At 41.1% G+C, this 15,117-nt stretch overlaps 1 annotated feature.

Moving 5' to 3' along the window:
- Positions 11,546-11,746: a silencer, noted in NCBI's record as "peak6672 fragment used in MPRA reporter construct". NCBI's record gives its function as "represses an SCP1 promoter by STARR-seq MPRAs in K562 erythroleukemia cells {active_cell/tissue: K562}" and the evidence as "EXISTENCE:reporter gene assay evidence [ECO:0000049][PMID:32103011]".

The following is a 15,117-nucleotide window of genomic DNA, read 5'->3' as shown; positions in this document are numbered from 1 at the left end:
GCAAACCCCACGCCATGAGCCAAATCCAGCCCACCATCTGTTTTTGTAAATAACTGTATTGGAACATAGCCACACCCATTTATTTAGTTACTGCCTTTGGCTGTTTTCTTGCCACAGTGGCAACACTGATTAGTTGCAACAGAGAAATTATGGCTGTAAAAACTAAAATAGTTTACTGTGAGGCCCTTCACAGGAAAAGTGTGCTGATCTCTGCTAGAGTATAAAGAGAATCTAGGGCTAAACCATGAGTAACTCTTGAAGGTTAAGTGGCAGAACATGAGCAGACCAAATGACAAGCATAGCTAAAGAGATGAAAGTTCCAACCAGAAGGAGTGAAGTCACAAAAGCCAGAGGAAACATTTTTCAGCCCAGCTGTTGAATGCTGCTGAGAGATCAAATAGGATGAAGAATTTAAAACAGCTACTGGATTTAGCCACCTGGAAATAATTGGTGCCTTAGACACATTCCTTTCCAGGTAGTAGAAGAGGCTTATTTCTGAAAGAAGCTCCCTTATATACCTCTTTGAATGTGGGTTGCGAAAAGGGAGGAGAGAATGAGGCAATAGTATCTTTGTCCTTCTAGCTGTAGCCTTACATCTGAAAAAGGTCCAGGAAAGAGGGAGGAGTTGAAAATAAAAGCAAAAAGACATCAGTGATGATTTGGGGTTCCAGAGAAGGTGGAGAAAGGTAAGATCCAAAGCACTTGGTAGGGTATTGGCCTTGAATGATAGGGGTCCTTCTAGAAGAAAGGAGAAGATGGAAGCAGGTGTGTACTTTGGTTTTCTACAAAGTCGGAGGCCAGATCCCACTTGTACGTGGTTTATTACTCATTCATTTATGTTCACCCCAGAGAAGCGCCATTTTTCATGGTTAGCAGCAGAATTCAGTTAGAAACACAGTTATCCTGACCTGCTTTATATATTTTTTAAATTCCGTAATTGGCTACTGAGCTGTTATTTCTTTGACATAAACTAGGCAATGCATTATAACAAACTATCTCTCAGACCACAGTGCAATCAAACTAGAACTCAGGATTAAGAATCTCACTCAAAGCCGCTCAACTACATGGAAACTGAACAACCTGCTCCTGAACGACTACTGGGTACATAACGAAATGAAGGCAGAAATAAAGATGTTCTTTGAAACCAACGAGAACAAAGACACAACATACCAGAATCTCTGGGACGCATTCAAAGCAGTGTGTAGAGGGAAAATTATAGCACTAAATGCCCACAAGAGAAAGCAGGAAAGATCCAAAATTGACACCCTAACATCACAATTAAAAGAACTAGAAAAGCAAGAGCAAACACATTCAAAAGCTAGCAGAAGGCAAGAAATAACTAAAATCAGAGCAGAACTGAAGGAAATAGAGACACGAAAAACCCTTCAAAAAATCAATGAATCCAGGAGCTGGTTTTTTGAAAGGATCAACAAAATTGATAGACCGCTAGCAAGACTAATAAAGAAAAAAAGAGAGGAGAATCAAATAGACACAATAAAAAATGATAAAGGGGATATCACCACCGATCCCACAGAAATACAAACTACCATCAGAGAATACTACAAACACCTCTACGCAAATAAACTGGAAAATCTAGAAGAAATGGATACATTCCTCGACACATACACTCTCCCAAGACTAAACCAGGAAGAAGTTGAATCTCTGAATAGACCAATAACAGGAGCTGAAATTGTGGCAATAATCAATAGTTTACCAACCAAAAAGAGTCCAGGACCAGATGGATTCACAACCGAATTCTACCAGAGGTACAAGGAGGAACTGGTACCATTCCTTCTGAAACTATTCCAATCAATAGAAAAAGAGGGAATCCTCCCTAACTCATTTTATGAGGCCAGCATCATTCTGATAGCAAAGCCGGGCAGAGACACAACCAAAAAAGAGAATTTTAGACCAATATCCTTGATGAACATTGATGCAAAAATCCTCAATAAAATACTGGCAAACCGAATCCAGCAGCACATCAAAAAGCTTATCCACCATGATCAAGTGGGCCTCATCCCTGGGATGCAAGGCTGGTTCAATATACGCAAATCAATAAATGTAATCCAGCATATAAACAGAGCCAAAGACAAAAACCACATGATTATCTCAATAGATGCAGAAAAAGCCTTTGACAAAATTCAACAACCCTTCATGCTAAAAACTCTCAATAAATTAGGTATTGATGGGACGTATTTCAAAATAATAAGAGCTATCTATGACAAACCCACAGCCAATATCATACTGAATGGGCAAAAACTGGAAGCATTCCCTTTGAAAACTGGCACAAGACAGGGATGCCCTCTCTCACCACTCCTATTCAACATAGTGTTGGAAGTTCTGGCCAGGGCAATCAGGCAGGAGAAGGAAATAAAGGGTATTCAATTAGGAAAAGAGGAAGTCAAATTGTCCCTGTTTGCAGACGACATGATTGTTTATCTAGAAAACCCCATTGTCTCAGCCCAAAATCTCCTTAAGCTGATAAGCAACTTCAGCAAAGTCTCAGGATACAAAATCAATGTACAAAAATCACAAGCATTCTTATACACCAACAACAGACAAACAGAGAGCCAAATCATGAGTGAACTCCCATTCACAACTGCTTCAAAGAGAATAAAATACCTAGGAATCCAACTTACAAGGGATGTGAAGGACCTCTTCAAGGAGAACTACAAACCACTGCTCAAGGAAATAAAAGAGGATACAAACAAATGGAAGAACATTCCATGCTCATGGGTAGGAAGAATCAATATCGTGAAAATGGCCATACTGCCCAAGGTAATTTACAGATTCAATGCCATCCCCATCAAGCTACCAATGACTTTCTTCACAGAATTGGAAAAAACTACTTTAAAGTTCATATGGAACCAAAAAAGAGCCTGCATCGCCAAGTCAATCCTAAGCCAAAAGAACAAAGCTGGAGGCATCACACTACCTGACTTCAAACTATACTACAAGGCTACAGTAACCAAAACAGCATGGTACTGGTCCCAAAACAGAGATACAGATCAATGGAACAGAACAGAGCCCTCAGAAATAACGCCGCATACCTACAACTATCTGATCTTTGACAAACCTGAGAAAAGCAATGGGGAAAGGATTCCCTATTTAATAAACGGTGCTGGGAAAACTGGCTAGCCATATGTAGAAAGCTGAAACTGGATCCCTTCCTTACACCTTATACAAAAATCAATTCAAGATGGATTAAAGATTTAAACGTTAGACCTAAAACCATAAAAACCCTAGAAGAAAACCTAGGCATTACCATTCAGGACATAGGCATGGGCATTTTGTAATTTTTATAGAGATGGATTAACGATCTCGCTTACAAACTCTCTTGAATTGGCTACACGTTTAATTCTGATTAGGTCTTCCTGACTCGCCAGAGTTGTTCTGCCAGATCTCTGAGCCTCTCGCTTTCCAGCCCTTCCTCTTCAGCTAACAAACATGTTCCTTTTTCTCACACCTTTTTTAAAGAACTCCCTTGATAACACCAGCTCTAGCCTCCCTTCTCCCATTTACATCAGACTTCTCTCCATTTACTGCCTCACCTCCCATTCAGTTATCTTCCATCTGGTTCTCACCTCTTATTGGACAAAGCAGTGACCTTCTAATTGCCAAATGAATAAATTTTGTTATTACATTATCTGAGGGCTCTCCTGCATTTGCCACTACTAAGAATTCATTTCTTTACTACTTTGTTCTATGATCTTTTGGGGTCTTCTAATCCCTGTGGACTGTCCCTTCTCTCTCGGTCTGTTTTTCACACATTTTTAAATGTTGACACATCCCATTTATCTCCATGTTCATCTTGGCTGATGTCAGCCATTCACGTGGTGTCAGCTATGAGCTATCTACTACAGCCTCCACACATTTATGTCTCCAGCCCAGACTTCTAAATCATTCTACCTGTCACTGATACATTTCCACTCAGATGCAACAAATCCAAGCTTACCATATTCCCCCAGAACTTACTATATTTATTTTGATTCTCTCATTTGGCAGCTCAGGCAGCCCCCAACATGAAACTTCCCTCTCCATTACCCTATACATTTAATCGGCCACATAATCCTATTGATTTACCTACTAAATAACATTATAATCTGTGTCTTCTCTCCAACTCTTATTTCAGAATCTCAAATTTCTTCCTGAAGTACAGGCTGAGCATCCCAGATCCAAAATCTGAAATGCTCCAGAACATGGAATAAAGTCTTGTATGCCTACATGACACTCAAAGTAAATGTCCTTAGAAGCATTTTGGATTTCAGATTTTCAAATTAGGGATGCTCAGCCAGTAAGTAAATGCAAATATTCCAAAATCTGAAATCTAAAACACTTCTGGTCCCAAGCATTTCAGAAAGTAATTTCTGTATTACTCAACTTGTAATCAGAAATTATCTAATTAGTTTTCCTAACTCCAATCCAGCCTCCCTCCACTCTGCTACCAGAGTATTCTAACAAAATCAGAGTGTCAGTCCCCTGCTGAAAGCACCTCAGTGTTCCTTTAGCCTGCAGGATGCTGCTCGGAATCCAGCCTGACCCTCCCTGATCTGGCCTGTGCTGCGTTTATAGCCTCATGTCCACTCCTCATTTCCTGTCCAGCATCACTGATTTGCTCTACCTTAGACGCACACATGCACACATGCTGTACACCATTTTCTCCATTTATCTGCCTTTGTGTATTCTAAGTCCTTGGCCAGGAATGCCTTCCCTGTAGGTGGTACTTATTTTAGGTGACAGTGCCTTAAGGTGGACTCAATTTAGTGATAACACCTCCAAGAGGCCTTCAACAACTCACCTGCCATCCCCACCTCACATGCCCTTCCTCTGGCCTCTGTAGGTGTTGAATGTATCTCAGAATTAGCATTTACAGTCCAAAGGTCTGTGTCCTATATGAGACATTCATCTATATTTCATCAGCACATAGTAGACATTGAAATGTCTGCTGAGTAAATGAATGTCATTAAAATAAACACTTTTAAGGTGTTTTGATAACTTCTCTGTAATACTAGTACCCTGAACATGTTAGTGTTTTTAAAAAGTGAAACGACATTTTTTAAGTACTTTTGTAAAAAGGTGGATAATTTTTTTAAAGTATATTCACATATTACTGTCTTTTTTAATTCTTAAATTCATGAAGTATAGGTGTTTCATCAAAACAGATTAGAAAGCTATGGTATAAAGAAATTAAATTATTTGCCTAACGTTACCTTGTATGTAGTTCAGTAGTTCATAACTTTTCTTGGGTCTTAGACTTCTGAGAATTTGATGAGAGCTATGGACTCTCCTCTCAGAAAAATTCTCACTTGTGAATAAACAACAAGTTTGCCTAAAATTTGAGGAGGTTCGTTTCACAGGCGCCACACTGAGAACTCTAAGTTAATTACAGAGCAGAGATTAGATTTCAGGGCTGTTTCTAGCAAATGTTCCTCTGTTTGAACTTCTAGTAGTATTCTTAGTAATGTTAAGGTTTTAATTACCTTAAATTGTTTTTGCAACAAGTCAACATAAAGATAATTTTAATTCCACTCAAAGATTCTACAGACTTCACTAATGCAGATTTCAAAATTAGTGGCTATTTTAAATGCCCTTTTTTATAGGTGGAGAAACAAGCTTAGGAAGTGAAATTAAGAAATCTGGCCATATGATGAAAGAAGATTAAGAATAAAACCCAGGAATCTTCTATACAAACCAGCAACGCCAAGCTTTTGACAAAAACTTTCTCTGTATTTTTATAACTAGGAGGTTCTCTTTCTTATAACTAGAAAATTCTGTTTCCAGAAATATAAACAGGCTAGGTCAAATCCAAGTGAAAATGGGACCCCAAGAGGTAACAAAGCATTGAAGGTGCTTTTGCCCTAGAGTATTTACCAAACCTGGGGACTTTGAGCTTCACTTTTTAGGGCCTGAAAGGACATGATGAACAGAAATCAAAGACCCTCCTGCCATAAAGCAGGTCTCCCAAAAGCCTCCACTACATGATGAGGATGAACCAGTGGTACTCTATCCCCATACCTCTTCTAAGGAACTGCAAGAAAAGTTGCTTAACTTGAGCAAATCAAGAAAAATCTAAGCAACTGACATTGCAAGCTGGCCTTGCAGTCCAAATTCACCTCCCCTACATATTACAGACACCTTAAAACTATAAACTTAAACAGGACTGGCAGAGTCCAGAGTTCCCTAAATGCCTGACAGAAGTAAATGCAAATTCTCCCTGAAGGGATACTTTCATCCTACACCTTAAAGAATTCTCAAAATAATTTTCTAAGGAAAATGAACGGCTCACAAAATAATCACATAGGCAACAAGACACCATGAATGAGAGCAGCAGAAAAATGACTCACCAAGGGTTCAGATACTGAAATTATGAAACATAAAATCATTATGCTTATTTTTTAAAAATGAGACCAGCTGCCGTGGCTCACGTCTGTAATCCCAGCATTCTGGGAGGCTGAGGCAGGATGCTCACTTGCAGTCAGGAGTTTGAGGCCAACATGGCGAGACCCTATCTCTACTAAAAATACAAAAATTAGCTGGATGTGGTAACGCATACCTGTAATCCCAGCTACTGGAAAGGCTGAGGCAGGAGAATCACTTGAACCCGTGAGGCAGAGGTTGCAGTGAGCCAAGATTGCCCCACTACACTCCAGCCTGGGCAACAGAGTGCACTCTGCCTCAAAAAAAAAAAGAAAAAAGAAATGAGGCGTACACTTAAATATCCATCTGCAGCTAATAGGAAAATTTTTGAAAGGCCTTACAAATTTGCTACAGGGATTAATAGAACTTGTGAAAATCAAAAGTTCAGTAATTGAAATTAACAATCAGATTAGACAGCTATAAAGGCACCAATGACTTGGAAGGCAAGTCAGAAGAAATTCAGAATGCAACACAAAGCAAATGGAATGAAAGTTAAGCAACATGAAACACAAGGCCTCACATATGTCTAATCAGAACAATGGAAGAAGAGGAAAGAGAACATGGAGTGGAGGCTATATTTTAAGAGAGAAGGGTTCAGGATTTACCTGAACTGATGAGAAGCAACAATCTAAAGATTAAAGCTCAATGAATCCCAAGCAAGATGATTTAAATCCAGACACATTATGGTGAAACTGCAAATCACAAGTAACAAAGAAAGTATCCTAAAAGCAGCCAGAGGGAAAAAAGATCGTAACCTAAGGAAGGAGACTGACCACTCAACTCTCAACAGCAGCACTGGGAGCCAGAAGACAGCGCAATGTCCCGAAAGGAAATAACTGCCAACAGAGAACCCTGTTCCCCTAAAACTCAGAAAGAGGACGAAATAAAGACTCAGACCACCACAACCTGAAAGTTCAACACTAGCATGCTGTCACTAAAGGGGATTCTAAAGGATGAAAGAATAAAGAGCAGTCAAAGTAGTAAGTATGTATGGGCAAACTAAAACATTGTGAACCAACGTCTTATGGATTCAAGTTAAACGATATTTAAAATATATAAGAATAGCATATATTAGAAGCAGGGTAAATTGAATTAAAAGTGTTCTGAGACATATCAATTGTCAGGAGGAAGTTAAAGTGATTAATTTTACTCCATTGTGCTAGTAGACATAGAAATGAAGTATGTTACTTTCAAACTAACAGGAAAAGGTGGTGGAATGGTTAAAATATTTCAAAATAAAATGACAGGCAAAAAAACAACAGGTGGGACAAATACCAAAACAATAAAGATAATGATACATAAATTCTGTATACCTAATGTGAATGATCCACATATTCCCCCCCACACACACATAAAATCAGTTAAGGCCAGGCACGGTGGCTCATGCCTGTAACCCCAGCACTTGGGGTGGCTGAGGCTGGCGGATCACCTGAGGTCGGGAGTTCGAGACCAGCCTGACCAACATGGAGAAACCCCATTTCTACTAAAAATACAAAATTAGCCAGGCCTGGTGGTGCATGCCTGTAATCCTCACTACTCAGGAGGCTGAGGCAAGAAAATTGCTTGAACCTGGGAGGCAGAGGTTGTGGTGAGCTGAGATCACGCCACTGCACTCCAGTCTGGGCGACAAGAGCGAAACTCTGTCCAAAAAAAAAAAAAAATCAGTTAAAAGAAATTTTAAAATCTATTTGCTACTTACAAGAGACACATCTAAAACAAGATGCAAAAACATCGGAAATATTTTTAAATTTGCAATTTACTGGAAATAATTGCTGCCATTTTCCTTTCAGTCAGATGACTTGTTTGCTCAGGGTTTCTGACCGGGGCTGGCTGAAACAACACATTGTATCACTGGGCTCCAGAACAGTGTGCCAACAACGTGTGGCACTCTAAAAGGATACAGCATTCCAGCACAATGCTGTGGCTTTATTTACCAAGCTTTTGGGATAATATGTGCCTTGGGCAAAGAGCTCTGTCTGCCCTCAGATCACAATGCTGCACAGGATGCCACATTTAGAACTGTCAGAGGACTGTTCAGTGCAGGGAAAGATGCATTCTGAGAAATAGTACCTGCTGTGGAGTGTTCCAGTTTTTATATTTTTCACACCCATTCTCTGTATCTTTTATCAGGGTTTAGGTGCTTTATCTTTTATATCAGTAGGTAGAGGAGGGAGGGAGAGGATCAGAATTACCTGTGGGGCTTTTCCGAACCACATACACGTACTCCTGAAAATTTGATAGATGCCAGGATATATGACCGTGCAAAGGGCCTGTGTAGTTCAGATAAACCACCAAAGAATTTTTAAACACGTATCATCTCCAGTAGAGAACCGCTGCTCTATGTAAACCACTACCCAAATACGGATGCAAGACTTCATCCCTAAGTGCCTTCTAAACCATATGACCTCCATTCTAAACTTCATTAGTAGTGTTCTCCCTTCTGCTTAGCAAGGCACAACGGATGGCAAACAATGGTTCTGTGAAGTTTATACAACTTGTCATCACCCTAGCCTGCCTGGGGAAGGAAAGGTCTCTGTATTTTTCCTACAGGAGCAAAAAGGAGAATGATTTAGCTGTGGGAAAAGGAGACAGCTGTATATCATTTCCAGGCTCTGGAAATTTATTAACCTGTCCAAACACTTTATAATGTGCATGTATTTTATTATCAAGTAACCACAACAAGCATTTTCTACAAACAAAATCACAAATTCTGGTCTTGTAAGTCAGAGAGTGGGGCGTCCACAACTCCTGAGAATGAGGGGGTTTTCTCAATCCTGGAGTGGGCAAGGAGAGCTTTCTGCTATTGAGGACCACTGGCCCATTGAAAAAACAGGGCCACAGAACCAAAAAGCAATTGAATTTAGCGTTTTGTTTGAGAATATGTGTTTCTATATGCATGATTGTGTATGTATGGGTGTATTCATAGGTATGTATGTAGAAGAGAGAAATACCTCATTCTTTCTCAACTAGTTCTTAAACTAGAGGCAGAGAATAAAATGATATATAGCACAAATAGTTTAAAAGCATACTGCAGTCCCATATTATGCCCAGGAACACTTAAAATCTTTTTTTTCGCTCTGTCACCCAGACTGGAGTGCAGTGGTGCCATCTCAGCTCACTGTAGCCTCCACCTCCTGGGTTCCAGTGATTCTCCTGCCTCAGCCTCCTGAGTAGCTGGGATTACAGGCACATGCCACCATGCCTGGCTAATTTTTGTATTTTTAACAGAGATGGTGTTTCACCATGTTGGCCAGGCTGGTCTCAAACTGCTGACCTCAGGTGATCGACTCGCCTTGGTCTCCCAATGTGCTAGGATTACAGGCATGAGCCACCACGCCCAGCCTAAAGTCTTGATAAGCAAAAATTTTAACTCACTGGATAAAACTATTTCTATGGCAGGCCCTTATTGGTTTCTACCACTAAATACTATGAAGGCAGGAAGAATGCCTCACCTATTTAAATGTGTATTCCTAGAGCCTGAGCACAGGCCTGGCCCATGGTAGACACTCAGCAGTTATGTGTTGAGCAAAGGAAGTTTCATAAACCTACAAGTCTCACTTCTACCTTTCGCCACCCCCCCGGTCAAGCTACATGTCATTCTCCACCCGCTTCCACTCCATACCTCCACCTCCTTATTACATCGAGCCAAATACTGGTGCTTTTTACAGCCAAAAGTGATCAGTGGGAACTCCTCAATGAATCAAGCAGCTCTCAGTCATTTGCACCTTGTGAGGAATTCTGGACCAACATTTCCATCTGCTTTACCCAGAAAAGGTCCAAATAGATAATTCCCCGACAGGCCTTCAAAACGGCTACAAGCAGCATGAAACTGTCTTCAGGAATTTACCATTTAGAAAGCCTGGATTTCATGCATTTAGAACTCCCTCAACAAAAGCTTTCATCCTCTAGACCACAATTTTTGTTTGTTTGTTTTTACTTTTTTGACCACAAGCCTCAGTAAGAAACATGGTTCACACTGCAACCCAGGACACACACACACATACACACACGTGTATTAGTGAAACTCTTTGTGCCATGTAGTCTGATATTGCTGGATCTCTTCTGTGCAGTTCTGTTCTACCTATTTTTTTCTTAATGCTGGTTTCAGCTCATAAAATTGATTTCTTGAACCACTAATGGTTATGACCTGCAGTCCAAAAACCCTGACCTAAACTGACCTAGTATAGCATCACCCACCTTGATATAGTCACAAGATCATAGTTCTTCAAGAAGCTCCAAGTCAAGCTGGTGCCTAAGCCAAACTTAGGGGCTCCAGCTACAACCAGATGAGCTTCAGAATGCAGTGAATAAACTGACTTGCACTCTGTGCTATTTCCTATATAAAGAAAGATTAGAAGGAGAAGAAGTTAATTGATATGTGCCAACCTTGTGCTAGGTGGGCATGCAAGGTCTGTATATGAATGGCCTCCTTAATCCCCTCAACAACTACCTATGGTAAGCATCATCCCCACTCTACAGATGAAAAAATGGATGAGTACGGATGTAAAGGAGCATGCCTAAGGCCACCCAGCTAGTAAGGAACAAAGTAGATTTCCAGCAGGGCTGTCCAACTCCATAGAGCCCACCACTCTCATCCTCCTGACTGTTGCAACAGCTACGTGGAAAAGAGTGCTTTCCTCTTTACTCTCCTTGTGTCTGTCCACATTCAGCATTTCACTCCAGATCTGGTTTTCTAGTCACTTCCTCCAGGAAGGTCCCTCCAAGCCATGTTTGTCAACCTCTAGACTTGCAGGTAGCACTGGATTTTCTCCATGGTCATTGTGTATGCAGCATGTGCACAGTATCAAGTGCACGTAAGTATGTGTGTGAATGTCTATTCTATTGCTTTTCTGCTGCCAAAATCACACACCGGCAGTGGGCCAGACATGGGCGCGGTGGCTCATGCCTGTAATCCTAGCACATTGGGAGACCAAGGCGAGTCGATCACCTGAGGTCAGGAGTTTGAGACCAGCCTGGCCAACATGGTGAAACACCATCTCTGTTAAAAATACAAAAATTAGCCCGGCATTGTGGCACATGCCTGTAATCCCAGCCACTCGGGAGGCTGAGGCAGGAGAATCACTGGAACCCAGGAGGTGGAGGCTGCAGTTCTTGGGGCTGTACATCAGGCTCCATGATTCCCTTTTCCGGTGCCCCATCTGACCCAGCCACTAGAGAATGACTAGCTAGAGCATGTTCAGCTATTTTTAGTTCCCTCAATCACTGACCTAGACTGTTCGCCGAGGAGGCAGAAGGAACTGGGAAGGAAGGTCTGTATCAGCCTCATCCACACTGCTTCTCAGGCAGCTGACTGCCTGCAGCTTTGAGGCAAGGGTTGAAAATTAGAAATCATGTAGGCAGAGCTTTCCAGATGGGGAAATAAAGAGCAGATGGCTACCCCCACCAGCAATGGAGCTTGCCACCTTGGTCATCGGAGGCTGCGGGAGAGAAGAGAGCAGAGAACATAAAGAGGGAGGTAGGGGGCACCTGGACAAGTCTGCAGCCAACTCGTAAGAGCAAAACCACTTATAAGGCACAAAAAGAACCAGAGACTGCCTCCCCTCCTTGACCCTCCTATTTGAATTTTGCTCAAAGGTTTTCTGGTGTACGTACATAGTACCATGGGAAACTGGGAGGAACATGCTTAGGCCATGCACTAGAAGTATCCAATACTCACAGCCTGGGAAAGGAGGCAGCCTGATAGACATAAGACAAACTCCTTTAGCTGGAAAGTGTTGGAAGACTCTAAGTCATAACTGCCCAGGTGCCAATTCAGCATTTATCCTGACCCAATCTAACTTTTAAAGATTTTCTTGTATTGATTAACTTAAGGATATATAGAAAAATTGTAGTTATGTAGAGATAAATGGAATATATATGGATATGTGGAGTATCTAGAGAGATGTATGGAGAGATTACTTGACAGTTTCCCTCTGAGAGACTCACAGTAGAGAAAATTTTCTTTCAGTTCCTCTGTTTGTAGGAATTCACAGCTTTGCTTAAAGCAACTCTAGCCAAAAAGAACAAATCGTGAGTTTTCAAACAAACAATATTTTGTCTCAATTTAAGAAGACTAAAAGGAACTAGTTTCTCTGGCTTTCTCTGTTTTTTAGAGTAATATTGTGGCAGGTAGTTAGATGGTCAAGAGTGGGGCAGGAGAGGGCTCTTCCCCACCCACTAGGAATTTTGGGTGATGATTCGGAAGTTATCACATTGTCTCTCTAGAAGTGCTAAATTGGCAGCTAGACCAGAGAAAGGCCATTTCCTGATGGTTCACATCTGTTGCACTAAAATATTAATTGAATGCAGATGCCAGGGAGACGCAACTTCCTGGGCATGTGCCTTAAGAGACAAAATGGCAGAGTATGACCTTCTGGGTACACTCCATCTGAAAAGGGAAGAAAGTCTCAGATGGACAAGCCTCAGATGGACTTCCTAAACACACTGCACATGCTCACCTCCCAAGGGTAAGGAGGGCACTGTGCATGCGGGAAGCCTACCCTAAGGGAAGAATTATGGGAAAGGGGCCAGCCTATAAAGGTTCAAGGTTAAACACTGCACTTGACCCTCACGTGCCCACTTGCATTTCTTCCTCTATTTCCTGTTCTAAAGCCTTTTTAAATAAACTTCCACTCCTGCTCTGAAACTTGCCTTGGTCTCTTTTTCTGCCTTATACCCCTCAGTTTAATTCTTTCTTCTGAGGAGGGAACAATTGGGGTTGCTGCAGACCCATACAGAATTGCTGCCAGTGACTCAGATATCTTCCACTGGCAACATTTGGTACTGTGAGACTCAGATATTTGCCACCCCTAACAAGATGAGGGAAAATTTTTTCCCCTTTCATTGCATCTATTTTGCTGAGTAAACTGTTTCTTTTGTCCTGGAGACCTTCCTGCAATGTAGAGTGTATTGATTGTCTCCCTGTTTTTTAATATGTTCCTTGGACCGCTTATATTTTCTGTAAGTGGTAGTTAAATTTAGGGGCTTGGTCAAATTCAGTTTTAATATTTTTGGTGCTGCTTTTTTGTTGGAGGATTTATGTACTTCCATAAACAGGTGCATGATGTCTGGCTATTTTTGTAATAGTAGCAGACATTTATGATCTTTGCCTAGATCATTAATTCTGTTGGGGTTTTAAAATGGTGGTATTTGAATTCCATTATTCCTCTATCATTTATTATCTGGGATACATCCATAAAAGAATCATTCTTTCGCCAATGATATGATTTCCTCTAGGTACATATCATACAGGAAAAACACAATAAATATCTGACTCTTTGCATTTACTGGTTTTCAGAACAATAAGCTGGTGTGTTTCTTCTTTCTTTCTTTGTTTTAGTATCATCATAATGAACTCAAGGATTTTTAGCAGATGCTGTTGATGTCCAACCCCATATCCCCTGGGTTCACCTCAGATTTCACCTGCATTTGTGCTGGATAGTAACAATGCATACTGACAGCTTCTCTTATCACCCTCCTTTTGCTTCTTTGAGAGCTTTCTCCAAAGCTATAGGAACTTGCTGAGCCCACCTGTGGGCAGCCCAGAAATGACAGAGATTCAATGCCTCAAAAGACAACCTTTAACCATGAGGGGTGGCTTCACCTTCCCTTGGCAGGACAATTTTTAGAGACATGCTACATCATTTAGGAGAGGGCTCTCAAGTCACATGCACATTTTGCTGTTCTTCCTTCCCTGTCTCAGTTTCCTCGCTAATTTGTGTTGTTTCTTGGGATCACCTTTCAAGTAAACCACTGGCATTCAATTCATTGTCTCCTGGTCTTCTTTTGGGATGCACCCAAATTAAGATAAATTTAACTATGTTTGACGACTTTTGATCTATTGCAATTATTACCCTTATCGACTCAAATCATCCCATCTTTGGTCAGTTGGAGTGTATTCAACTGGCTTCTGAGTCCTTTTGACATGACACTGCTTGGTTTTGATAATTTTCTTTTTTCTGGTATTACAAGAAGTTTTGCTCTCATTTTGTACATTTCCTTCCTCAGACCTGCAATCAACCATTTCTCCAGAAAACCCTTTGTTTTTATTTCTGTTTTGAGACAGAGTCTCACTCTGTAGCCCAGACTGGAGTGCAGTGGCACAATCTCAGCTCACTGCAATCTCCACCTCCCAGGTTCAAGTGATTGTCCTGCCTCAGCCTTGTGAGTAGCTGGGACTACAGGCACGCACCACCATGCCTGGCTAATTTTTGTATTTTTAGTAGAGACGGGGTTTCACCATACTGGCCAGGCTGGTCTCGAACTCCTGACCTCATGATCCGCCCTGCCTCAGCCTCCCAAAGTGCTGGGATTACAGGCGTGAGCCACCACACCCGCACTGTTTTTATTTCTTGATGTAGGAAATAGTATTTAGAGACCACAATCTTGGCAGTAGGGATGCTTATTGCTACTGGATTGATCATTGTTTCTATGTCTTTTCAGTAGACAAATTAAGAAAACTTTCTTGTTTCTTTGCATGTCTTATAACTTTTTGTTGATAAAATAGGCATTGTAAAAAATGTAATGTGGCAAATCTGAAAAGCAGATTCCCCATATCAACCATTTTTCTTTTTCTTTTTTTTTTTTTTTTTTTTTTTTTTGAGACGGAGTCTCATTCTGTCACTAGACTGGAGTACAGTGGTGCGATCTGGGATCACTGCAACCTCCGCCTCCGGGGTTCAAGTGATTCTCCTGCCTCAG

The sequence above is a fragment of the Homo sapiens genome, chromosome 7 (genome assembly GCF_000001405.40).
Source record: "Homo sapiens chromosome 7, GRCh38.p14 Primary Assembly".
In the NCBI taxonomy this organism is placed as follows: domain Eukaryota; kingdom Metazoa; phylum Chordata; class Mammalia; order Primates; family Hominidae; genus Homo; species Homo sapiens.
The sequence above is the reverse complement of the archived record's forward strand: the minus strand, read 5'-3'. Positions and strand labels throughout refer to the sequence as shown.